The sequence below is a fragment of the Homo sapiens genome, chromosome 13 (assembly GCF_000001405.40).
Source record: "Homo sapiens chromosome 13, GRCh38.p14 Primary Assembly".
NCBI lineage: Eukaryota > Metazoa > Chordata > Mammalia > Primates > Hominidae > Homo > Homo sapiens.
The window spans coordinates 19,748,400-19,776,127 of NC_000013.11; the positions used below are offsets into that span (position 1 = coordinate 19,748,400).

At 43.1% G+C, this 27,728-nt stretch overlaps 1 protein-coding gene across 17 annotated transcripts in view, besides 2 other annotated features; it reads right to left on the reverse strand.

The window, feature by feature from the left end:
- Positions 1 to 27,728, reverse strand: part of PSPC1 (paraspeckle component 1) — a 111,741-nt gene that overhangs the window by 77,195 nt on the left and 6,818 nt on the right. For all 17 annotated transcript variants that reach the window (XR_007063689.1, XR_007063688.1, NR_003272.4 and 14 more), the window contains 3 exons: positions 23,843 to 24,144; positions 10,924 to 11,019; positions 2,872 to 3,068 (listed from right to left, as the gene is read on the reverse strand). Coding sequence is in view for 9 of the 17 variants with exons in the window: in XM_047430435.1 (XP_047286391.1) it covers positions 2,872 to 3,068; positions 10,924 to 11,019; positions 23,843 to 24,144 (595 nt within the window). In the remaining 8 variants the exon portion in view is untranslated. The remainder of the gene's footprint in view (positions 1 to 2,871; positions 3,069 to 10,923; positions 11,020 to 23,842; positions 24,145 to 27,728) is intronic.
- Positions 17,709 to 18,209: an enhancer, noted in NCBI's record as "H3K27ac hESC enhancer chr13:20340248-20340748 (GRCh37/hg19 assembly coordinates)". NCBI's record gives its function as "activates a minimal SCP1, AML or CMV promoter by ChIP-STARR-seq in primed H9 embryonic stem cells {active_cell/tissue: H9 hESC(primed)}" and the evidence as "EXISTENCE:reporter gene assay evidence [ECO:0000049][PMID:30033119]".
- Positions 20,549 to 21,108: an enhancer, noted in NCBI's record as "H3K4me1 hESC enhancer chr13:20343088-20343647 (GRCh37/hg19 assembly coordinates)". NCBI's record gives its function as "activates a minimal SCP1, AML or CMV promoter by ChIP-STARR-seq in naive H9 embryonic stem cells {active_cell/tissue: H9 hESC(naive)}" and the evidence as "EXISTENCE:reporter gene assay evidence [ECO:0000049][PMID:30033119]".

A 27,728-nucleotide genomic window follows, 5' to 3' on the forward strand; every position in this document is an offset into this window, starting at 1 on the left:
ATTTTCTAATATTATAAACTAAGATATTGTTAACAGAGGCTTTAAATGAACACACACGATAAACAACAAAAAAACTCATGGGAAATAACTGCAAAATTACTCTACTTCAAACATCAAAATACCTTCAGGCAAAGTTTTCTAAGAGCTCAAGAAAAAACTGAAGTCTAAGGAAATGTTCTTTGCCATCAATATATCCTCAGTACCTCAGACATGTCTCCCATAACTGACATTAAAGATGTGCTAAATTAGTGAATGTTATACCACTGTTCGTAGCATCAACACAAATCTTTAGTACAGATGCTTCCACATCTAATCAACATTGTTATCTAACTAGGGCACAACTGTAGGTAGGTGGGAAACAAAATGGCAGAGAAGTGCCTAGCAGGCTAAGAGAAAACAATTCATATTGAACAGAAGGGCTAGGGTAACCACAGAGCCCAGGAAACGAAATTTCAAAAATTTCCAAGATGATTCTAATGGGTAATAAAATTTCAAAACCACTGGACTGGACAAACTTTAAGATCTCTTGGCTGGGCACGGTGGCTCATATCTGTAATCCCAGCACTATGGGAGGCCAAGGTGGGTAGATCACTCGAGGCTAGGAGTTCAAGACCAGCTTGGCCAACATGGAGAAATCCCATCTCTACTAAAAATACAAAAAAACTGGCCAGGCACAGTGGCTCATGCCTGCAATCCCAGCACTTTGGGAGGCCGAGGCGGGCGGATCACCTGAGGTCAGGAGTTCAAGAGCAGCCTGGCCAACATGGTAAAACCCCATCTCTACTAAAAATACAAAAAATTAGCCGAGTGTAGAGGCATACACTTGTAATCCCAGCCACTTAGGAGGCGGAGGCAGGAGGATTACTTGAACCCCCGAGGTGGAGGTTGCAGTGAGCTAAGATCACACCAATGCACTCCAGCCTGGGCGACAACAGTGAGACTCCATCTCAAATTTTAAAAAAGCAAAAAAATTAGCTGGGCGTGGTAGCACGCACCTGTAGTCCCAGGGAGGGTGTACTAGGGAGGGTGAGGCACGAGAATTGCCTCAACATGGGAGGCGGAAGTTGCAGTGTGCCGAGATCATGCCACTGCACTCCAGGCTGGGCGACAGAGTGAGATTCTGTCTCAAAAAAAAAAAAAAAAATCTCTCTTCCAGATCTAACAGCTAATGAATGATTCAGTACCTTTATCTCAAATAACAACTTGCACATTTTCCACAAAATAAAAGACAGTTTATCTTTTTTTTTTTTTTTGAAATGGAGTCTCGCTCTGTCTGTCGCCCAGGCTGGAGTGCAGTGGCGTGATCTCGGCTTACCGCAACCTCCACCTCCTGGGTTCAAGTAATTCCCTGCCTCCCAAGTAGCTGGGATTACAGGCGCCCGCCACCACATCTGGCTAATGACAGTTTACCTTTAAATCTACTCTAAGATATAAATGAATTCAATTTTGTTAGAAAAGTGAACTTATAGAACTACCAAGCTTAGGGTCCAAATTAAACCAAAACACCTAACTAGTTTCTATGGTTTGCTGGGCTCGATTTTGTTTTAACGTATGTGGCATCAGCACAGTTACTCAATGACTTCATCATAAGTGCTCAATAAACATTTACTGAATAGTGATGTACGAAATACTAGAACACACATAACAAAAAAACCTACACTTCATTCTAAAGCAAGTGAGAATTTACCCAAAAGGATTTAGAGAAGAATGATCAAAATTTCACCTGCTAAGAAAAATACTGAATCTAGTACACAGAACGGTTTAAAGAAAGCCAAGATTAGATGGCAGAAACGTTCAGCAGGAATGCTACTGCAGAAATTCAGACAGGCAGCTGTGGTACCTTGATCTCTGGGGACAGCCAAGAGAAGGTAAATACAAAAAAACTAGCCGGACATTGTGGTGTGTGCCTGTAATCCCAGCTACTCGGGAGGCTGAGGCAGGAGAATTGCTTGAACCCAGGTGGTGGAGGCTGCAGGGAGACAATATGGCGCCACTGCACTCCAGCCTGGGCAACAGAGCAAGACTCCATCTCAAAAAAAACAAAAAACAAACAAACAAAAATATATATATATATATACACTTACCAATTACTAACTTTTCCTAAATCCCCATATCAATGTGTACAAATGAATCTTTTTCATCTCTACCAGATTATCCATCTGTACTCTTTCAAACATGTAATAATAATCTTAAATAGCCAGCATTTGTCCAAATTCTTCTCATCAAACAAAAAATCCTGTATGTGCCATGTCTACCTACCAAAATTTGCCTGCTATGTTTCTGTTTGCCAAGAGAATCATGTATTTGATACTGGCACAATTTAATACCCGCAAATTACCTCCAACACTACTGCTTGCATAAGTAAAACTAACTTTTTAATTTTTTTTTTGAGACAGTTTTGCTCTTGTTGCCCAGGCTGGAGCACAATGATGCGATCTCAGCTCACAGCAACCTCTACCTCCCGGGTTCAAGCAATTCTCCTGCCTCAGCCTCCCAACTAGCTGGGATTACAGGTGCGCACCACCACGGCTGGCTAATTTTGTATTTTTAGTAGAGATGGGGTTTCTCCAGGTTGGTCAGGCAGGTCTCGAACTCCCGACCTCAGGTGATCCATCTGCCTTGGCCCCCCAAAGTGCTGGGATTACAGGCGTGAGCCACCGCGCCCGTCAAGTAAAACTAACTTTTAGTAAGTTGTGTTCTTTTTTTTAAGGGAAGTTATCTGGGAAAAGGGAGATTTTCACACCTAATATGTTGAGTTCCAACTTTACCTCTAAACTCCTAAATGGCACTTTACACAGTAGTACATGAATGGTACACACACTTAAGGGAAAAAAAAAATCATACCACATGTACATGAAAATCCATATTTACCTTGCCTCATTAGCATTAATTGGTGTTCATGCCTAGCTGCTTCCATTTCTGCCTCCAGTTTCTCTTTGGCTTCTCTGATGTTTCTATCAACCTGCTCACGCTGCTGCTTTTCCATTTCATCAAGAGCCTTCCATCGAGATGCATACTCAAATTCAAATGTCCCAGGTTGAGCAAAACGTGGTGGTTGTTCTCTTTCCCTAAATTAACATTAAAACATACAGAAATGTATGCTTAAAAGGTAAAACAACAACAAATGAGAACAACAAGCACTTACAATGTCCAAGACACCGTGTGAGACACCGTGTCTACATGAATTACCTCGTGACAATATTGTGATTACAGGCCTGAGTTTAAGAACTGCCCAAGAATGTTCAACTAATAATGGAACAATAATTCAAACTTACACAATCTGATGCCACAACCTGCATTCTCCTAATTATTACCTGCAAAATTTCTGCTTTTGGAGGTTTCATTTTCTGGTTTTCAGTCAACAAAATACTTTACAGGCCGGGCGCAGTGGCTCATGCCTGTAATCCCAGCGCTTCGGGAGGCCGAGGCGGGCAGATCACGAGGTCAGGATATCAAGACCATCCTGGCTAACGTTGTGAAATCCCGTCTCTACTAAAAATACAAAAAAATTAGCCGGGCGTGGTGGCAGGCACCTGTAGTCCCAGCTACTCGGGAGGCTGAGGCAGGAGAATGGCATGAACCCAGGAGGCAGAGCTTATAGTGAGCTGAGATCCTGCCACTGCACTCCTGCCTGGGTGACAGAGCGAGACTCCGTCCCAAAAAAAAGAAATATTTTACAAAGGAAAGTCTGGAACACATGAATATGAATTAACTGTCTGGATCAGATGTTTTTCTAGTAAAACCAGCTAGATTTTACTGAGCGTTATGTGCCAATTAATTGGGTAGGCCCCAAAAATCAAGGCCTAACTTACTACCATTGTAGTTAATTATTTATTACCTCTTTCTCTTGATAGACTTTAAACTCAATTGACGACATCAAATGTGGCTGTTAAATGCTGTACCACCACCTCAAGTACCTAGAGTGCAGTATATACATTTAATATACATTTCTTGAATAAATTAACGAATTACCAAATAAAGGGCTATGAATATATTTGAAAGTCTTCATTTTTTTCATATATACATATATATGTAAATATTTATTTTAGAGACATATAAAAAATATGACTGATCTCAAACTCCTGGCCTCAAGTAATACTCATTCCTCAGCCTCCAAAAGTGCAAAATTACAGGTACAAGACACCACACCTGGTCCCCAGTCAATTTTTTTTTCACTTTTTTATTTATTTATTTATTTATTTTTGAGACACAGTCTCACAGTATTGCCCAGGCTGGAGTGCAATGGTATAATCTCAGCTCACTGCAACCTTCGCCTCCCGGGTTCGCACCATTCTCCCGCCTCAGCTTCCCGAGTAGCTCGGATTACAGGCGTCCGCCACCATGCTTGGCTTATTTTTTGTAATTTTTAGTAGAGACGGGGTTTCACTATGTTGGCCAGGCTGGTCTTGAACTCCTGACCCTGTGATCCACCCATCTCGGTCTCCCAAAGTTCTGGGATTACAGGCGTGAGCCACCGTGCCCAGCCTTTCTTTTCACTTTTAAGAATTTTTGTTGTTGGAGGTGTTGCTTTGGGTTTTTCTGAGATAGGGTCTTGCTCAGTTTCACAGGAGTGTAGTGGCACAATTAAGACTCACTGCCGAGACTGGGCACGGTAGGTCACACTTGTAATCCCAGCCCTTTGGGAGGCTGAGACAGGCGGATCACAACACCAGGAGTTCAAGACCAGCCTGGCCAACATGGCGAAACCGCCCCTCTCTACTAAAATTACAAAAATCAGCCAGGCGTGGTGGCGGGTGCCTGCGATCCCAGCTACTCAGGAGGCTAAGGCAGGAGAATCGCTTGAACTCGGGAGACGGAGGTTACAGTGAGCCGAGATTGTGCCACTGCACTCCAGCCTGGGCAACAAGAGCAAGACTCCATCTCAAAAAAAAAAAAAAAAAAAAGGCTCACTTGCCAAATCAACCTCCCAGGCTCAAGCAGTCCTCCCACCTGAGGCTACAGAGCACCTAGAACTACAGAGGCATGCCACCATGACCAGCTAATTTTTGTATTTTTTGTAGAGATGAGGTACCACTACGTTTGTTGCCCAGGCTGGTCTCAAACTCCTGGAAGCAATGCTTCTGCCTCCCAAAGTGCTGGGATTACAGGTGGGAGCCACCACACCCAGCCAACTTTCAAGAAATTTCTGCATAAATATCTTCAATTAGTCTCGCCTATAACAGCCTGTATTTAAAAGTACTCATGGGAAAACAATTCCCACTCCATGAATAAAAGCATAGATACCTTGCTATAAATGTAAATTTTAACTTTTATTTTGGGGTAGGGAGGTGAGGAGGGGTGGGTATGACAAATCTAGGAGAGAAGAAGGCTGTCACAGAGGGAAAGATGTAATAACAAGAGAGGGAAAGATATTCAGAAGCATGTGAAGAAAAATCAAAGACAGCCATGATCCTAGGGACTCTATATCTGAAAACCCTACTTGGATTTTTTTCTTTTTAAAGCACTGACTGGAAAGTGGGAAAGATTGGGAGAATCTACCAACCACTAATTTTTCTAAAAGAATTGTTTACTGGTCAGCAGTTCCAAAGTCAAAGACTGACTATATTTTTAAATTATTTATTTTCTTTCAAAGGAAAAAAAAACCACTGAAATAACATGATTTTTTGAAGGTGCAAGTGAATTTGAATTTTGGCTTTTTTGCTTTGTGAGCATTTTCTTTTTCTTTCTTTCTTTTTTTTTTCCTGAAACAGTTTCATTCTTGTAGCCCAGGCTGGAATGCAATGGCGCCATCTTGGCTCACTGCAACCTCCGCCTCCTGGGTTCAAGCGATTCTCCTGCCTCAGCCTCCCAAATAGCTGGGATTACAGGCTCCTGCCACCACACCCAGCTAATTTTTTGTAGTTTTAGTAGAGACGGGGTTTCACCATGTTGGCCAGGCTGGTCTCCAACTCCTGATCTCAGGTGATCCACCCACTTTGGCCTCCCAAAGTGCAGGGATTACAGGTGTGAGGCACTGCGCCCAGCCTTGTGAGCATTTTCTTCTGTGAATAAATCTAAATCTTTAGTAATAAAAGTGGGAATATAACTAACTCCTTTTTTTTTTTTTTTTTGAGACAGTCTCGCTCTGTCACCCAGGCTGGAGTGCAGTGGCACAATCTCCACTCCACCTCCCGGATTCAAGCGATTCTCCTGCCTCAGCCTCCCGAATAGCTGGGATTACAGGTGCACGCCACCACGTCTGGCTAATTTTTGTATTTTTAGTAGAGACAGGGTTTCACCATGTTGGCCAGGCTGGTCTCGAACTCCTGACCTCAGGTGATCCACCCACCTCGGCCTCCCAAAGTGCTGGGATTACAGGCGTGAGCCACCACGCCCAGCCATAACTAGCTCTTAAGTTTTGCTGATATCATTAACTATATAAACAAATATTGCCTATAAAGTCTATTCTTGTTAACAACCTTGTACTTCTAGTTCTCTAACTCCCAAATCCAAACGTATGCTTTATTTCAAATTTGTAATGGTGACCTATAACAAGGAAAAAGTTAAGTGAAGAGGAAATCACAGGAACCCTTTAAAAAAAATGGCATTGTGGCCAGGTGCAGTGCCTCACACCTGTAAACCCAACACTTTGAGAGGCCAATGCAGGCAGATCGCTTGAGCCCAGGAGTTCGAGACCACGCTGAGCAACATGACAAAACTCTGTCTTTACAAAATAATTAAAAAATGAGACGGGCATGGTGGCCCACATCTGTAGTCCCAGCTACTTGGGGGGTGCTGAGGTGGAAGGATCACTTGAGACCAGGAGGTAGAGGCTGCAGTGAGCCATGACCATGCCATTGCACTGCAGTCTGGGCAACAGGGCCAGACCCTGTCTCAAAAAAAAAAAGAAAAGAAAAGAAAAGAAAGAGAAATAGCATTGCAAAGGAAATAAGAATAGATATTAATTAGGCTGGGCATGGTGGCTCACGCCTGTAATCCCAGCACTTTGGGAGGCTGACGCAGGCAGATCACAAGGTCGGGAGTTCGAGACCAACCTGGCCAACATAGTGAAACTCCATCTCTACTAAAAATACAACAATTAGCTGAGCATGGTTATGTGCGCCTGTAGTCTCAGCTACTTGGGAGGCTGAGGCAGGAGAATCACTTGAACCTGGGAGGCGGAGGTTGTGGTGAGCCAAGATCGCGCCACTGCACTCCAGCCTAGGCAATAAGAGAGAAACTCCATCTCAAAAAAAAAAAAAACAATAGATATGAATTATAATCAACGCTAATGCTAATGCTTCCTCCCTGAAATACTCTCCTCCCTTGCTTCCAGGACACAGTCTGATGGTTCTTCCCCCTATTCCAATGAATGAATGCTCCCTTCTCAGTCGTTATTGATTCCTTCTGATCTTCCCAATCTCTACACACTGAAGAACTCCAAGGTTCAAGGTTTGGTCCTTTGACTTTAAAATATCATGTTCATAAATCCAGCCAGGACAGTTGCTCTAAATCCTAGTTATAAATCCAACTACCTGCTTGACTACACTGCTAGCACCTAGAACAGTGGCTAACACAAAGGCACTCCAAGTTTTATTTATCTAATAAACAAGTGGGCCGGGCGCAGTGGCTCACATCTGTAATCCCAGCACCTTGGGAGGCCAAGGTGGGTGGATCACCCAAGGTCAGGAGTTCGAGTCCAGCCTGGCCATTATGGTAAAACCCCGTCTCTACTAAAAATACAAAAATTAGCTGGGTGTGGTGGTGCACGCCTGTAATCCCAGCTACTCAGGGAGGGTGAGGGACAAGAATCACTTGAACTCGGGAGGTGGAGGTTGCAGTGAGCTGAGACTGCACCACTGCACTCCAGCCTGGATGACAAAGTGAGACTGTCTCAAAAAATAAATAAGTAGGCCTTTGAGCCCCTATGCTCAGGCCCACTCCCAGACTGTGGAGTGGTACTTTCATTTTCAATAAAACCCTTCGCTCCTTCCTTGCTTTGAGCATTTTGTCCAATTCTTTGTTCAAGACGCCAAGAACTTGGATACTCTCCACCGTTAACATATTTTGGTGAGCCAGCCAGGAGGAAGAGTCAAGCAGGTTCACTACGGCCACTCAGGGAGCGAGAACTCAGAAGCCTGGCATGCTGGCAAAAGGGTAAAGAAAACCTTTTTTTTTTTGAGACGGAGTCTCACTGTCATCCAGGCTGGAGTGTGGTGGCGCGATCTTGGCTCACCACAACCTCCGCCTCCTGGGTTCAAGCAATTCTCCCGCCTCAGCCTCCTGAGTAGCTAGAATTACAGATGCGTGCCACCACACCCGGCTGATTTTTGTAATTTTAGTAGAGACGGGGGTTTCACCATGTTAGGCTGGTCTCAAACTCCTGACCTCGTGATCTGCCCGCCTCGGCCTCCCAAAGTGCTAGGATTACACGTGTAAGCCACTGTGCCCGGCCCTAAGAAAGCGTTTTATGGTTTGAATCTTCTGGAAACGTCAAAGACAGTCAGTCGCCGGGCATGGTGGCTCACGCCTGTAATCCCAGCACTCTGGGAGGCCAAGGCAGGCGGATCACAAGGTCAGGAAATCGAGACCATCCTGGCTAACACGGTGAAACCCCGTCTCTACTAAAAATACAAAAAAATTAGCCGGGCATGGTGGCACGTGCCTACAGTCCCAGCTACTTGGGATGCTGAGGCAGGCGAATTGCTTGAACCTGGGAGGCGGGGGTTGCAGTGAGCTGAGATCGTGCCACTGCACTCCAGCCTGGGCAATGGAGTGAGACTCCGTCTCAAAAAAAAAAAAAAAAAAGAAAGAAAGACTGTCCTTGCCATCCACACCACAACAAAGCTTTGGGACCTTGAACTTTGGGTTCATGGTCTCACAACTGAGAAGGGTCCCTCCACACTTTTGGAACTGTGCACCCACTGGAACCCTTGACAGACCATCAAGCTTCAGATGACCATGCAACAAAGGCTCCAGCCAGTTCCAGGCAAAGACACCACCCCTAGCCATCAAGAAACTACCCTGCCTCCATTAGATAGAGCAGGGCGAGAGTTCCGTGATCCCCAATAGGTAGAGACTATGCCCCAAGTCAGCATGAAGCAGTTACAGAAAAAAAGACCATCGGTCCCTCTGCCTCCCATAAAGATTTATGAGGATCACATCTCTAAGTGGAGAGATGAGGCAGGAAAATACAGTCTGGAAGCAGGGAACAGAAGACCAATTCACAATTCAGCTATAACAGGAAATATCCTCTCCATAGGACATACACCGAGTAAATGACTTGTAACTTTACCTCATCCTCTTCATTTACATAAGGCATACCCCAAGTAGAGGGTATTTAAACTCACAAAAACTCTGTAACAGGGCCTTTGAGCCCCTATGCTCAGGCCCACACTGCAGAGTGTACTTTCATTTTCAATAAAACCCTTCATTCCTCCCCTGCAAAAAAATAAATAAGTAAGTGACTGGTTTTTAAAAATATAATAAGCTCTGCAAAAGTAATTGGAGAGGAAAGGGAGGTGGGACAGGCAGAGAACAGAACTGGAGGCAGTCCATCTAGGGAATGGGACTGTGAGGCCATACTTGTGAAACATCTGGACTGCTATTCTAGGACTTTTATTTGATGTGTTCGTTGCACAGCTGTTTGAAATGTTTAATAAAGCTTTATAAACTTAAAAAAAAAATGCACTCGGCTGGGTGCGGTGGCTCACGCCTGTAATCCCAGCACTTTGGGAGGCCGAGGTGGGTGGATCACGAGGTCAGGAGATCGAGACCATCCTGGCTAACATGGTGAAACCCCGTCTCTACTAAAATACAAAAAACTAGCCAGGCATGGTGGTGGGCGCCTGTGGTCCCAGCTACTCGGGAGGCTGAGGCAGGAGAATGGTGTGAACCCGGGAGATGGAGCTTGCAGTGAGCCGAGATCGTGCCACTGCACTCCAGCCTGGGCAACAGAGTGAGACTCCGTCTCAAAAAAAAAAAAGTGCACTCATATAGGCAATTTATGTAAATATACTTGTATTATTCTAAGTGAAAAGGGAAAATAAACATACATTTTGAAAATGAGCTATTTTTTGCAACCTCTAAGAGTTTTTCCGCTGTGCCAGGTTATTTAACTAGGAATACCCTGCTCTACCCTGGCACACCAAAAATCTCCTTTTAACCTACAATAGACTTGAAGCACAAAATAAAACTTAAGAAGTATTTCCAGCTGGGCGTGGTGGCTCACACCTGTAATCCTAGCACTTTGGGAGGCCTAGGCGGGTAGATCACCTGAGATCAGGAGTTTGAGACCAGCCTGGCCAACATGGCGAAACCCCATCTCTACTGAAAACACAAAAAAATTAGTCGGGCGTGGTGGCGCACACCTGTAATCCCAGCTACTCGGGAGGCTGAGGAAGGAGAATTGCTTGAACCTGGGAGGTGGAGGTTGCAGTGAGCCGAGTTCACGCCACTGCACTCCAGCCTGTGCTACAGGAGTAAGACTCCATCTCAAAAACAAAAAAAAAAAAAGTATTTTCATGTTATCTAGATTTCATCGTTTTTCTGGCATGAATATTATTGACAGTGTCCTCCTAGTACCCTCCCTGCCCCAGTTATAAAAGTAGACATTTCTAAAAAAAATTAGTATGTTTTACCCATATAAAAAAAGAAAACTATTAGCTGGGCATGGTGGTGCGTGCCTGTAATCCCAGCTACTCAGGAGTCTGAGGCACGAGAATCACTTGAACGTGGGAGGTAGAGATTACAGGGAGCCAAGATCACACCACTGCACTCCAGCCTGGGCGACAGAGCAAGATACTATCTCAAAAAAAACAAAAAGAAAGAAAGAAAAGAAAACTAGCATTCCATGTAGACTAGACCACTCTATTACCCAGATTATATAAATAAACAGAACACCTCATAATCCAATATTTGAAAACAAATGTAATGAACACCCTTAATAGTACAGACACAAATTATCTATTAATAAAATCTTACTTATGATATTGTTGAGTTTTCTGCATCAGCTTCTCTGGCAAGCCATCTTCATCATCAAACTGCTCCATGGGTTCCACAATGACTGGACGAGGGGTCCTGGATAGGTATAAAAGCATTCATAAAAATTAACACAGTGCCAAGAATTAATACCGTCTTAAAAGAAATGTTTTATAATAATAAAGATATATACTTAGAAAATGTCTCACTTGAGAAAAATGTCTCAGAAGTATCATTTGTACTCATAAAAATCAGTCAACAGCCGAAGCAGTGGCTCACGCCTGTAATCCCAGTACTTTGGGAGGCCAAGGAGGGCACATCATTTGAGGTCAGGAGTTCAAGACCATCCAGGCCAACATGGTGAAATTCCATCTCTAGTAAAAATACAAAAAATTAGCCGGGCATTGTGGTGTGTGCCTGTAATCCCAGCTACTGAGGACGCTGAGGCAGGAGAACTGCTTGAACCCCAGAGGCAGAGGTTGAAGTGAGTCAAGATCGCATCACTGCACTCCAGCCTGGGCAACACAGCAAGACTCCATCACAAAAAAAAAAAAAAATCAGTCAATAAACATTTACTGAGTCAGAGAGAGGTGAATGTCAAAAGCCACAAAAAGATGAGTAAATAAAGCAACAATTATGAACCAGCATAACGGTTATAGTTAACATTTAGAAAGTATAATGAAAACGAATTTGTACCTAACCCATGTTTTATATGTGTGGTCATCATCACAGCCACTGCTTCAGCTATTGATTGATTTTTATGAGTACAAATGATACTTCTGAGACATTTTTCTCAAGTGAGACATTTTCTAAATATATATCTTTATCATCAACATGTCCCACCACCTCAACCCACCCATCTGTACCCACCACCCAGTTTCCCTGTATCTATCAGTATTGTTCAGAAAGTTCTTAAAAATGTTGGCCAGCAGGAACAGTGGCTCACACCTGTAATCCCAGCACTTTGGAAGGCCAAGGCAGGCGGACTACCTCAGGTCAAGAGTTTGAGACCAACATGGCCAACGTGGTGAAACCCCGTTTCTACTAAAACTACAAAATTTAGCCAGGCGTGGTGGCACACGCCTGTAGTCCCAGCTACTCAGGAGGCTGAGGTATGAGAATCGCCTGAACTCAGGAGGCAGAGGTTGCAGTGAGTGGCGATCGCACCACTGTACTCCAGCCTGGGCGACAGAGTGAGACTCTGTCACCAAAAAAAAAAAAAAAGTTAAAGCTGAAAATCCGACCTAAAACATTTCGGCGAAGTGGCTCAAACCTGTAATTCTAGAGCTTTGGGAAGCAGAGGCGGGGAAGATGGCTTGAGCCCAGAAATTCAAGATCAGCCTGGGAAAGATGACGAGATCCTGTCTCTATAAAAAATTTTAAAATTAGCCGGGCACAGTGGCTCACGCCTGTAATCCCAGCACTTTGGTAGGCTGAGGCGGGTGGATCACAAGATCAGGAGTTTGAGACCAGCCTGACCAACATGGTGAAACCTCGTCTCTACTAAAAATACAAAAAATTAGCCGGGCGTGGTGGTGCACGCCTGTAATCCCAGCTACTTAGGAGGCTGAGGCAGGAGAATCGCTTGAATCCGGGAGACGGAGGTTGCAGTGAGCCAAGATCACGCCACTGCACTCCAGCCCAGGCGACAGAGTGAAACTCCGTCTCAAATTAAAAAAAAAAAAAATTTAAAATTAGCCAGGTAGCATACACTACTCAGGAGGCTGAGGTGGGAAGATCACTTGAGCCCAGGAATTTGAGGCTGCAGTGAGCTATGATAGAGCCACTGCACTCTAACCTGGGCAATAAGGCAAGATGTCATCTCTAAATAAAAATAAAAATAAAAGATGTTAGCCAGACAAAAAGGGAAAAAGGGAAGGCAGAAGACACCAGACATTCAAGGAGAAAAGCTGGGATAAGGAAATGACAAGAGTGGGTAATGAAAGATATGACTAGAGGCCCTCCTTCTTTACTGTTTTCTTCAGTAAAATAGGAGAAAAGGAGAGTTCATGGAGGGGAAGAGGAATAAGCAGAATGGATGGCACACTGATATTAAAATTTCCTTTGAGATCGGCTCTTCACCATGCAAGGGGCATTAAAATCTATTTATACTACCTTCAAAACAGTGATGCTTCAGAGAGAAAAAACTAAGCTAGAGAGATGAAGGGTTTTTGGACTCCAAAAGCTTCTCTTACACATAATACCAGAGATTAACACAGACTTTAGATCCTAAATGTAAGAAAAGATACAAAATAACTTTTCAAAATTATTACTGAGTTAGTGAAGACATTTTAAGGAAACAGTTAAAGCAGGTATGGAATATCATGGAGTGGTGGAATGAGATTATAGAAACCTCAGATAAACTGAATAGGAACCCAAAGGTAAAGAGACTTAAGATGTGGTACTTCTAAAAGTACCCAAAAAGGCCCAGGGCCAAAATGAAGATGATGCATTTTATGGACCATTCATCCGCTGGAAGCTATGGCAGGGCCACAAACATAGAACAGTAACAGAATCAGATAAAAGGTGCACCTGAGCAGAGGCCAACAAAGAAACAAGCAAACCCCTCCAGTAACACAAGACCATCCCCCTTCAGAGAAACTTCAGAAACAGAATTAAGAGGGAAAAATGAACTAAGCAGATGATATGTCATTCATCAGAAATGACAAAAGTATATGAAGCCAAGGGAAACCGTAATCAGAATTAAGGGAAAACTCTGACATCTCTGTACTCTCAAATATGTTAGAGATTTTAACAAATTGTAAACTTTTCACATGTAAGTTTGGACCACTAGACAACTCTTACACAGTGCGGGAGAGGAGAAGTACAGATTTCTAAGAGGGAACTTAATCGATACAAACAAGTTTATAAAGTCTCCCTCTACCACTCTATATATCATCTTGCTCCTACAATTCCACTTCTGAAGAAACATAAACCAGTGAGCAAAGATCAATCAGGCTGGGCGTGGTGGCTCACGCCTGTAACCCCAGCACTTTGGGAGGCCGAGGTGCGTGGATCACGAGGTCAGGAGTTTGAGACCAGTCTGGCCAATATAGTGAAATGCCATCTCTACTAAAAAAAATAACAAAAATTAGCCAGGCGTGGTGGCACACGCCTGTAGTCCCAGCTACTCGGGAGGCTGAGGCAGTAGAATCGCTGGAACCTGGGAGGCAGAGGTTGCAGTGAGCCGAGATCGTGCCATTGCACTCCAGCCAGGATGATACAACGAGACTCCGTCTCAGAAAAAAAGATCAATCACAACCACATTCATCTAATTACACAACATAAAAAGACCAAGGAACATGGGTACGTATTGTGTACAAGGGAATTACTTAAGGGACTGTGTCTTATTTTTATTTATTGGAACACATGCTAAAATGTGTTTCTATCTATGGTTTCATTGTACATACACCACTCCCTATAGAAGCTCCCTTTGTCCATTTTCTGACTCATCTTGTTTATTTCACTTTCATCTTTAGGTATAACCAAAATTTGTTAAACTCAACCTAAGGCCGGGCACGGTGGCTCACAGCTGTAATCCCAGCACTTTGGGAGGCCAAGGCAGGTGGATCACTCAGGAGTTTGAGACCAGCCTGACCAACATGGTGAAACCCCGTCTCTACTAAATACAAAAAATTAGCTGGGTATGGTGGTACATGCCTGTAGTCCCAGCTACTTGGGAGGCTGAGGCAGGATAATCACTTGAACCCAGGAAGCAGAGGTTGCAGTGAGCTGAGACCGCGGCATTGCACTCTAGCCTAGGCAACAAGAGCAAAACTGTTTCCAAAAAAAAAAAAACTCAACTTAAATTCTGTTTACCATAGGTATAATAACTACATTTATTCTTTTTTCTTGAGACAGTGTCTCACTCTGTTGTCTAGGCTGGAGTGCAGTGGGGCGATCACAGCTCACTGCAGCCTCAACCTCCTGGGCTCAAGATATCCTCTCGCTTCAGCCTCCCAAAGTGCTGGGATTATAGGCATGAGTGACTACGTCTGTCCAGGTTACTCTTTTTGCAAATATAAGTATATAATAAGTACAAAACAGATCAAAAAGAAACAAATCAAAGTGTTCAACCATAATGTTAAATCTGAAGTTACTGCTTGGGTTTTTGTTTTTCTCCCCATTTTACCACCAAGTCAATCATTAGTTTGGTTATAAACTTGAAGGACTGAGAGAGAGAGGCTTCGGGACTGAGGCCCTGGGGTTTACAGCAGGTTATGAGCTGCATAGCCTTTGGCTAGGAGGTTCCTGCGCTAGCTGAAGTTTTCTCTGAAGTTTTCTCATCGGTAAAATGGGATATCAGTGCATCATAGGGTTGTTATGATAACGAAAGAAGAAAGGTAGGGCACTTAGCACAGTTCTTGGTAAAGAGAGTTCATTAAATCAAAGTGAACTCGGCCAGGCGTGGTGGCTCACGTTGGTAATCTCAACGCCTTGGGAGGCCAAGGCAAGTGTATCACCTGAAGTTAGGAGTTTGAGACCAGCCTGGCCAACATGGTAAAACCCCATCTCTACTAATACAAAAAATTGGCCGGGCATGGTGGCCGGGCAGCGGCTGTGGTCCCAACTACTCAGGAGACTGAGGAACGAGAATTGCTTGAATCCAGGAGGTGGAAGTTGCAGTGAGCAGAGATCACACCACTGCACTCCAGCCTGGGCAGCAGACTGAAACCCTGTCTCGGAAAAAAAGAAACTGAAGGTTTTTTTCAGGGGGTAAGAGAGAGAAAAAGTATTTCAGTGTTCTTTCAGGCTTGAAAATACTAAAATTTAAAGTGTTAATTTATTTACAAAAAAACTTGAAAAATGTTTCATTGTGAAAAAACTTAAATAGCAAGTATTGCAGAAGAAACAAGGCCCCTGAAATCCTAACATATGGAGAGGAGCTCTGATCACATTTTTGTGAAAACCACTTAAGACTTGCCTTTCTGTTGGATATATGCATAAGTTTACATAAAATGAATTACCTATACATGCTTTTTTTCAGATATCCAATGTACTCAATGTAAAATGGCACCATTTTACGCACTGCATGCATGCACAATAATTTTTTTAACCATACCAACTGGTATACATCTGGGGTTTTCATGTTTTCTGTAATTATATATAACATCAACTACGTATTTGTGACTGATCTTTCCTCATTGTGGCTGATCTTTTCTTAGAACTGTGGAAACAAGGTAAAATATACAGTACTAAAAAAAACATGGTGACTTAAGGGCTGGGCAAGGTGGCTTTTGCCTGTAATCCCAGCACTCTGGCAGACTGAAGTGGGAGGATCATTTGAGGCCAGGAATTCCAGGTTACAATGAGCTATGATCGTGCCACTGCACTCCAACCTGGGTAAGAGCAGAACTTGCCTTAAAAAAAAAAAAAAAAAAAGGTGGCTTAAAAGATAATGCAATATTTTGCACATGTAATTTCTTTTTTTTGAGACAGGGTCTTGTTCTATTGCCCAGGCTGCCATGCAGTGGCATGATCACTGCTCATTGCAGCCTCGACCTACAAGGCTCAAGTGATCCTCCCACCTCAGCCTCCCACGTACCTGGGACTACAAGTGTGCACCACCATGCTTAGCTAATTTTTTTATTTTTCTTTTGTAGAGATAGGGTTTTGCCATGTTGCCCAAGCTACACATAATTTTTAAAACGAAGAATGTGTAATGATGATGACAATTTATTTCTGCACTGAATCACCCTTATAGACATGTACCATTTTGTGATGGTTTTTCATTTTAGCTCAGTTGCATATTTATAAGCATGGTTGAGAATAGTTGAATAGTAATGATAAAATAATTATCAGGATGCAGCCACGACAAACATGGTGAAACCCTGTCTCCAGTAAAAATTCAAAAGTTAGCTGGGTGTGGTGGTGCGCACCTGTAATCACAGCTACTCAGGAGGTTGAGGCACAGGAATCACTTGAACCCAGAAGGCAGAGGTTGCAGTGAGCCAAGATCATGCCATGCACTCCACCCTGGGTGACAGAATGAGAGCCCATCTCAAAAATAATAATAATAATAATAATTATTATTATTATTATTATTACCAGGATGACGATATTAATAAAATATTTTATGATGGAGAAAAAATAAAATCACTAGGATCTGATAATGATATCTTAGATTTACAAAATGACACAATAGATCCATGTGGTAATTTTAAGAAAAGGGATCTAATTTTTTTTTTTTTTTTTTTGAGAGACGGGTCTCACGACGTTGCTCAGGCTAGTCTCGAACTCCCGGGCTCAAGCAAACCTCAGCCTTCAGAGTAGCTGGGACTACAGGTGCCTACTACTACACTCAGCTTGTTTTAATTTTTTTAATTTTTCTTTTTGTTCTTTTGAAGACCTCTAAGAAATAAGGAAGTATCAGTCTTTACAAATAACTACAAATAACAAATAAGGAAATATCAATCTTTACAAAAAAAAGAAAGCAAAAAACTAAAACTGGATCCAATTAGCACTGATAGTATATCAAGGGTTAATGTTGCTTTCCTAAAAAGTTAAGTAGCAATTTATACTTATCAGCAGGTTTTCCTAGATAACTCATTATTTTCAACAGGCAATGGAAATATTATAATGTTTTTCTTAAAGAATTTTTTTTGTCTAAAAGTAATCTCATTTAATGGAAAGATATGATAAAGCAAATAAAATGTTGGAAAAAGTAATCCCTTTCAAATATAAATATAAAATAGGAAAAGTACAAAATTATTTTTGTACTCTTCTGCACAGGAAAAGTGTGCAGAAAAGAGTTTTAAAAAGCAAGCCTGCAGCTGGGCGCAGTGGCTCACGCCTGTAATCCCAGGACTTTGGGAGGCTGAGGCAGGCGGATGACTTATGGTCAGGAGTTCGAGACCAGCCTGGTCAACATAGTGAAACCCCGTCTCTACTAAAAATACAAAAATTAGCCAGGTGTGGTGGTGAACATCTGTAATCCCAGCTATTCAGGCAGCTGAGGCACATGAATCGCTTGAATCCAAGAGGCAGAGGTTGCAGTGAGCCAAGAACATGCCACAGAACTGCACCCTGAGTGACAGAGTGAGACCCTGTCTCAAATCAATCTATCAATCAATCAATCAATCAATCCTACCAGCCAAGAGCGGTGGCTTGTGTCTGTAATCCTAGCACTTTGGGAGGCCAAAACGAGCAGATCACTTGAGCCCAAGAGTTCAAGGCCAGCCTGGGCCACATGGCGAAAATACAAAAAGTAAAAAAATTAGCCAAGTCTGGTGGCACATGCCTGTGGTCCCAGCTACTCGGAAGGCTGAGGTGGGAGGATCATGTGAGCCTGAGGAGGCTGAGGGCATAGTGACCTATGATCGCATTCAGCCTGGGTGAGAGTAAGACCTTATCTCCAAAAAAAAGCTATCAATAAGAAATCGTTAGTTAACTGGGTGTGGTGGTGCATGCCTATAGTCCCAGCAGCTTGGGAGCCTGAGGTGGGAGGATGACTTGAGCCTAGCAGGTTGAGGCTGCAACGAGCTGTGATAATGCCACTGCGCTCCAGCCTGGGAGGCACACTGAGACATTGCCTCGAGGAAAAAAAAAGAAAAAAAAAAAGGACAAGAACAATGGCTCACACACTTGTAATCCCAGCACTCTGGGAGGCTGAGGCCAGCTGAGACAGGTGGATTGCTTGAGCTCAGGAGTTGAAGACCAGCCTGGACAAAATGACAAAATCCACCTCTACAAAAAATACAAAAAGTAGGCCTGGAGTAGTGGCTCATGTCTGTAATCCCAGCACTCTAGGAGGCTGAGGCAGGCACATCACCTAAGGCCAAGAGTTCAAGACCAGCCTAGCCAACATGGTGAAACCCCAGCTCTATTAAAAATACGAAAAAAAATAAAAAATTAAAAAATAAAAATAAAATGGAAAAGCAAGATCTATGACAATCTGAAGAAAGAGCATTCTCTAAGGAAAGAGAATAAGAGCACAATCTCTGACAAGATTGTGTTGTAAAACAGCAGATATAGCACGAATTTCAGTTTTAGTATCAATGCTTAATAGTCGAAAGTAAGTTTTAAAATGCTTACAAATCAGCAACTAAGTTCCATAGAGCCAGGAAACAAAATTTTTTAAATTTTAGGGATCAATTCCCTAAACCCTAAATTCCCTAAACCCTAAAACATCTGAATGATCCCAACCAATAGCTGACAGCACCATACAATAAGCAAATACAAAGAACCTAAATAGCCAAAAAAATTTTTGAAAAAATAAAATTGGATGATTATACTACCTGATTTCAAAGCTTAGGGTAAATATGGTAATTAAGCAAGTACAATTTTGGAACTGACAAACTGGTCAATGAAACAAAAAAGTACAGATTTTTTTTTTCCTGGTAACAAAGGGGAAATCATAAATTTTTTCAATTAATGGTGCTGGAACAACTGGAGACCTGCACGGTAACAAGGATTTTTACGTCACACTCAAAATGTATAAATGTAAAAGCTATAAAATTTCTCAAGAAAACATGAGAAAAGCTCTGCAATCTTAAGCAAAGATCATACAAGGACACAAAAAGAACAAACCATACAAGAAAAAAATTGATGAAATTTGGACTTCATAAAATATAAAAACATCTGCTCTTTGAGGGTCACTGTTAAAGTTAAAAAACTTTACAGATGCAATGGCTCACACCTGTAATTCCAGCACTTTGGGAGGCCAAGACAGGAGGATAGTTTAAGCTCAGGAGTTAGGGACCAGCCTGGGTGACATAGCAAGACCTCATATCTACTTTAAAAAAAAATTCAAAAAATTAGCCAGGCATGGTGGCACATGCCTGTAGTCCTAGCTACTCAGCAGGCTGAGGAAGGAGAATCATTTGAGCCCAGGAGGTCAAGGCTGCAGTGAGCCGAGATCACTCCACTGCACTTTGGCCTGAGTGACAGAGCAAGACCGTGTCCCCCCCCAAAAAAATAAATAAATAAAAATAAAAGAAAATTTAAAAACAAGCCACAGACTGGCAGGAAGATTTATAATACAGACTTATCTAGATTTCATAATTCAGTAAGAAGACAATCTGCCCAATTAAAAATAACAAGCAGGGGACGGGCGTGGTGGCTCACGCCTGTAATCCCAGCACTTTGGGAGGCTGAGGCGGGCGGATCACAAGGTCAGGATATCGAGACCATCCTGGCTAACATGTGAAACCCTGTCTCTACTAAAAATACAAAAAAAATTAGCCGGACATGGTGGCTGGCGCCTGTAGTCTCAGCTACTCAGGAGGTTGAGGCAGGAGAATGGCGTGAACCCGGGAGGCAGAGCTTGCAGTGAGCCGAGATCACGCCACTGCACTCCAGGCTGGGCAACAGAGCAAGACTCTGTCTCAAATAAAAGAAAAGAAAAAAAAATGAATAAGGGGGACATCTAAAAAAATGGACAAAAAATTTTAGATATTTCAGGAAAGATATATAATTGGCCAAAAAGCACATGAAAAGATGCTCATCATTAGTCATCAGGAAAATAAAATTTAAATCACAATGAGATTGCGCTAAACTAACTAGAATATCTAAGTCTAAAAACACCAAGTGGCAACTGGGCACAGTGGCTCACACCTGTAATCCCAGCGCTTAGGGAAACCGAAGCAGGTGGATCACTTGAGGCCAGGAGTTCCTGACCAGCCTAGCCAACGTGGCGAAACCCCATCTCTACTGCAAAAAAAAAAAAAAAATTAGCCAGGCATAGTGGTGCATGCCTGTAGTCCCAGCTACTCAGGAGGCTGAGGCACAATAATCACTTGAACTCGGGAGGCAGAGGTTGTAGCAGCCGACATGGAACCACTGCACTCCAGCCTGGGTGACACATTAAGACTCTGCCTCAAAAAGCAAATTAACAAAAAATTAATAATAGGCTGGGCGCGGTGGCTCACGCCTGTAATCTCAGCACTTTGGGAGGCCAAACTGAGGTCTGGAGTTAGAGACCACCCTCACCAACACGTAGAAACCCCGTCTAACGGCCGGGCGCAGTGGCTCACGCCTGTAATCCCAGCACTTTGGGAGGCCGAGGCAGGTGGATCACGAGGTCAGGAGATCAAGACCATCCTGGCTAACACAGTGAAACCCCGTCTCTACTAAAAATACAAAAAATTAGCCGGGCGTGGCGGCATGAGCCTGTAGTCCCAGCTACTCGGGAGGCTGAGGCAGGAGAATGGTGAACCCAGGAGGCGGAGCTTGAAGTGAGCTGAGATCGCGCCACTGCACTCCGGCCTGGGGGACAGAGCGAGACTCCGTCTCAAAAAAAAACCCCGTCTTACTAAAAACACAAAATTAGCTGGGCATGGTGGCGCATGCCTGTAATCCCAGCTATCTGGGAGGCTGAGCCAGGAGAATCGCTTGAACCCGGGAGGCAGACGTTGCAGCGAGCTGAGATCGCGCCATTGCACTCCAGCCTGGGCAACAAGAGCGAAAACTCCGTCTCAAAAAATAATAATAAAATAAAATAAAAATAATAAAAATAAAAAATAAAAACACCAAGTGTGGGTAAAATGTGGAGTAACTAGAAGTCACTCACTCATTGCTGGTAGGAATGTAAAATGATACAACCACCACGGAAAAGAACTTGGCAGTTTCTTATACAATTAAACATACAGCAATTTACCCCTAAATATTTACCTAAGCCACATGAAAGCCTAATATTCACAAGAAGCCTTGTAAACAAATACTCATAGTAGCTTTATTCACAATGGCCAGTAGTTGTAAGCAACTCAAATATCCATCCATATGTCACGGACAAAACATAGTTATGTCCATACCATGGAATATGACTCAGCCATAAAAAGGAACAAAATACTATACACACAAAGATATGAATGAAATCTCATAAACATATGCTGAGCAAGAGAAGCCAGACACAGAAGAATACATACTATATGATTTCACTTAATATTAGAAAACACAAAACTTATTTATAAATAAGAAATAGCTATCTAAGGCAGGTAGAGTGCAGAATAACTGTAAAAGGGCACAAGGGAACTTCTGTGGGGTAACGGAAGTGTTCTGTATTTTTATTATGGCAGTGTGTTACATGAGTACATATGTTTGTTAAAACTCACTGAGCTCAGCCGGGTGAAGTGGCTCACACCTGTAATCCCAGCACTTTGGGAGGCTCAGGCAGGTGGATTACTTGAGGTCAGGAGTTCGAGACCAGCCTGGCCAACATGGTGAAACCCCGTCTCTACAAAAATACGGGCCAGGCATGGTGGCTCATGCATGTAATCCCAGCACTTTGGGAGGCCAAGGTGGGTGGATCACCTGAGGTCAGCAGTTCCAGACCAGCCTGCCCAACATGGTGAAACCCCATCTCTACTAAAAATATAAAAATTAGCCGGACACAGTGGTTCACGCTTGTAATCCCAACTACTCGGGAGGCTGAGGCAGGAGAATCACTTGAACCCAGCAAGACTCCATCTCAAAAGAAAAAAATACAAAAGATTAGCCAGGCATGGTGGTGCACACCTGTAATCCCAGCTGCTCAAGTGGCTGAGGAAGGAGAATTGCTTGAACCTGGGAGGCAGAGGTTACAGTGAGTCAAGATCGCCACTGCACTGCAGCCTGGGCGACAGAGTGAGACTCGTCTCCAAAAAAAAAAACAAACAAAAAAAACACCTCATTGAGCTCTACAACAGAATGTCTTTTATTATTTTATTATTATTTTTAATTTTCTTTTTAAATAGAGACAGGGTCTCACTGCAACTTTGACCTCCTGAGCTCAAGTGATCCTCCCATCTCAGCCTCCTGAGTAGCTGGGACTACAGCGCAAATAGCTGAGACTACTGTGCACTCCACCACGCTGCCCCCAAGATGTTTTTATGTTGTTGTTGTTTTTGGTTTTGTTTTTTAGGCAGAGTCTCGCTCTGTCGCCCAGTCTGGAGTGCAGTGGCACAATCTGGACTCACTGCAACCTCCGCCCCCCGGGTTCAACCGATTCTGGTGACTCACCCTCCCAAGTAGCTGGGATTACAGGCACGCAGCACCAAGCCCGGCTAATTCCTCATATTTTTAGTAGAGACAGGGTTTCGCCATTTGCCCAGGCTGGTCTCGAACTCCTGAGCTCAGGCAATCCACCCGCCTGGGCCTCCCAGAGTGCTGGGATTACAGGCATAAGCCACCGCGCCTGGCCCAAGGTACTATTTTTTTTGAGACAAGGTCACTCGGTCACCTAGGCTGGAGTAGAGTGGCATGATCTGGGATCACTGCAACCTCTGCCTCCAGGGTTCAAGCAATTATCATGCCTCAGCCTCCTGAGTAGGTGGGATTACAGGGATGTGTCACCACGCCCAATTAATTTTTGTATTTTTAGAAGAGATGAGGTTTTGTTTTTTTTTTTGAGACAGAGTCTGTCACCCAGGCTGGAGTGCAGTGGCATGATCTCGGCTCACTGCAACCTCCGACTCCCGGAGTCAAGTGATTCTTGAGCCTCAGCCTCCCCAGTAGCTGGGACTACAGGCATGCACCACCACGCCCGGCTAATTTTTGTATTTTTAGTAGAGATGGGGTTTCATGCCATGTTGGCCAGGCTGGTCATGAACTCCTGACCTGAGGTGATCCGCGCACTGAAAGTCTGGGGCTTGAGCCACTGCACCCCTGAGGTGCTTTTTATTAATGTAAATTAGGTGTCAATAAAGCTGATTACAATTTCTGAAAGGATTACCTTAAGTTTATAGATTTTACTTTGTATATATGTTCATTAAGTTAAATGAAATAATACAAAACACTGCAGAGATTTAAACTCTGAAGTTTGAAGAAAGTACATGACTCTTGACTCCTACCAGTACACGAAAATTTCTTATTTATATTCACTGAATATTTACTCAACACCTACTTACCATATGCTAGTATGAACTGCAATGAAAGACAGAATTCCAAAACAGAGAGAAGCCCATATGTAACTGGATAGAAGAAGGACAAGATATTTAAAACTTACGTTGTTAGCAAGAATGCCCCATCACCACATCTTTCCAGAGCCTTTCGTGCAGGAGGTTTTGCTGCAAACTCTACAAAACCTTTTCCTGTAGCTCTACCGCGATCATCCACAACCACAACAGCTTTCTCTACTGGACCAAACTGAGAAAATGCTTGCTCTAGCAGCTCATTGGAAACAACTGGAGAAAGGTTCTTGACAGTCAAGGCTGCTCCATGTGTAGCGAAGCGAATCCGTAGAGGTCTGCTCTTGAGAATGGTGCCGTCCAGCTCTGCTTTTGCAATTTCAGCCAGGGTTCTGGATTCCTTTTTAGGAAGAAAAAACATTTTTAAAAGATGACAGTAACAGAAAAAATTCAAAACAGTGTTTGGCTTCTAGGGAGAACTAGGTATCTTTAGCAAATGGCTGACAGGGTCAATTTGATTTTGTATCTTTTAACTTTGGTATCACATGGTTTTTAACTATTCAATGATCATTTTAAACATTTTAATTAAAAGGTCCCAACTCCATTGTTTTGTTAAAAGTAATCATTTAAAGATTAGCTCTTCATAAGGCCAGTTACCAACTATTAAATATTCAAAGCAATATAGTTTTAAAATCTCCTACATATATTAAGAACACATATTAACAACTTGACTAGAGGCTGGGCACAGTGGTTCACCCCTGTAATCCCAGCACTTTGAGAGGCTGAGGCGGGCGGATCACCTGAGGTCAGGAGTTTGAGACCAGCCTGGCCAACAGGGTGAAATCCCACCTCTACTAAAAATACAAAAATTAGCTGGGCGTGGTGGCGGGTGCCTTAATCCCAACTACCTGGGAGGCTTAGGCAAGAGATCTCTTGAACCTAGGAGGCAGAGGTTGCAGTGAGCTGAGATGGCGCTACTGCACTCCAGCCTGGTGAACAGAGCAAGACTCTGTCTCGGAAAAAATAAAAATAAAAAAACAATAATAACTTGACTAGAAACTATCAACAAAGGAATAATTCTCCATACCCTTTATGTTTTTATCTCATTTTTTTTTTTTTTTTTTGAGACAGAATCTGGCACTGTCACCCGGGCTAGAGTACAATGGCGTAATCTCGGCTCACTGTAACCTCTGCCTCCTGGGTTCAAGAGATTCTCCTGCCTTGGCTTCCCAAGTAGCTGGGATTACAGGTGCCCGCTACCACGCCCAGCTAATTTTTTGTATTTTTAGTAGAGACGGGGTTTCACCATGTTGGCCTGAACTCCTGACTCCAGATTTGCCCACCTCAGCTTCCCAAAGTGCTGGGATTACAGGCGTGAGCCACCGCACCCGGCCTGTTTTTTATATCTTAACAAAACATCCCACCTCTCTACAGCCAGACAAATCACCTTTTCTTTTTATTTTCATTTCTCTTCAATTTTATATGTAAAAACTGTTAGTTCTTGGGTTTTTTTTTCAGGGGAGGGAGGTGTCTGAGACAGGGTCTTACTCTGGTGCCCAGGCTGGAGTACAGTGGCACAATCATAGCTTACTGCAGCCTCAAACTTTGGGGCTCAAGGGATCTTCCTGCCTCCCGAGTAGCTGGGTTTCCGGGTGCATGCCACCAAGCATGGCTAATTTTTTAATTTTCTGTAGAGATGGGGGGGTCTCACTATATTCCCCATGCTGGTCTCTCGAACTCCTGGCCTCAAACAGTCCTCTCGCCTTAGCCTCCCAAAGTGTAAGATTACAGGTGTGAGCCATCTTGCCCTAGCCAATGTCTTCTTAATGACTTCTCCTGAAATACTGGCATGGGTTACACATTTCTCACTATTACATGAAGAGAAACAAAGGCAACATTCACGAGCTATAATAGTTCTCGCCATTATATAAAGTGTACATATACACTTACTATAAACTAAAAAATATGCTCATTGCTGAAACTACAAGGTAAGAGAACTTCCTTCTACTGGGAGAATTCAAAGTTGGTGTAGAATATGGGCAGCACCTAAAACAATAAATAAGGAACTGGTAAATTTAACAGAAGTATGTCTTTTTCATTGTGTTATGGGAACTCTCCAAGGACAACTGAAGAGGCTTTATATGTATATGTAAGAAGAATACAAACATACTGTCTTATGAAAATTGTCTTAAGGTCACAAGAGCTCTTTATTCAATCCCTAAAATGTTCATGACAGCTTGAAATTATTGCCCTTTATTGCAAAAATCTACCTATAGAATTATTTTTACAAAAACAAATGAAGTTACCCTTTTTAGAGATATAGTCATCCCTCTGTATCCATGGATTCAACCAAAAGTGGATCAAAAATATTTGGGGCCAGGCCCAATGGCTCACACCTGTAATCCCAGCACTTTGGGAGGCTGAGGCAGGTAGATCACTTGAGGTCAGGAGTTCAAGACCGGCCTCCTGGCCAACATGGCAAAACCTAGTCTCTATCAAAAAATACAAAAATTAGCCGGGGCATGGTGGTAAGCGCCTGTAGTCCCAGCTACTTGGGGGACTGAGGTGGGAGAATCTCTTGAACCCAGAAGGCAGAGGTTGCAGTGAGCCAAGATCACACCACTGCACTCCAGCCTGGGTGTCAGGGACAGACTCTGTGTCCAAAAAAAAAAAAACAAAAAAAAAAAAGAAAAAGAAAAAGAAAGAAAGAAAAGCAAACATTTGGGAAAGAAACAATTTAAAATTGACAGGCAGGGTAAGGGGGCTCACACCTGTAATCCCAGCACTTTGGGAAGCCAAAACAGGAAGAATCCTTGAGGCCAGGAGTTTAAGACCAGCCTAGGCAACATAGCAAGACCTCTTCTTTATTCCTTTAAAATAAAAAAATAAAATTTAAATAAAAGAAACTAAATAGGCTGGGCGCAGTGGCTCATGCCTGTAATCCCAGCACTTTAGGAGGCCGAGGCGGGCAGATCACGAGGTCAGGAGTTCGAGACCAGCCTAGCCAGCATAGTGAAACCCCGTCTCTACTAAAAATACAAAAAAAAACAAAAACAAAAATTAGCCAGGCATGTGGCACGGGCCTGTAGTCCCAGCTACTCAGGAGGCTGAGGCAGGAGAATTGCTTGAACCCGTGAGGCAGAGGTTGCAGTGGGCTGAGACAGTGCCACTACACTCACGCCTGGGTGACAGAGCGAGACTCCGTCTCAAAAAAATAAATAGACAAAAAAAAAAAATAAACCAAATAATACAGCATAACAGCTATTCATACAGCATTTACATTGTACTAGGTATTACAAGTAATCTAGAGATGATTTAAAGTATACAGGAGGATTGCATGGGTAACATGGAAAAACAATGCCATTTTTACACAGTATAAGGATTTGAGCATCTACGAATTTTAGTACTGGAGGAGGTCCTAGAATCAATCCCCCACAGATACTGAGGGATAATTGCATTCTAAACAGTCGTTTTGTTTATTGCTTTTAACTCACTAGTAACAGTAGTAGCAGCAAGCACTTAATAAACACCTAAAAAGAGATGGGTACTTTCTTACCTAATACATCATATAATCCAACAACTCTTAAGAGGTAGACTTTAGAAACAGTTTTGAAAGTGAGAATAGGGCTGGGCACAGTGGCTCACGCCTGTAATCCCAACACTTTGGGAGGCCGAGGCAGGAGAATCACGAGGTCAGGAGATTGAGACCATCCTGGCTAACACAGTGAAACCCCGTCTCTACTAAAAGTACAAAAAAATTAGCCGGACGTGGCAGTGTGCGCCTGTAGTCCCAGCTGCTGGGGAGGCTGAGGCAGGAGAATGGTGTGAACACGGGAGGCGGAACTTGCAGTGAGCCGCGATCGCACCACTGCACTCCAGCATGGGTGACAGAGCAAGACTCCATCTCAAAAAAAAAATAAAATAAAATGAGAATAGGAAGAAATATGAAGACATTTAATGGGGTGATAATATGTATATTTTGAT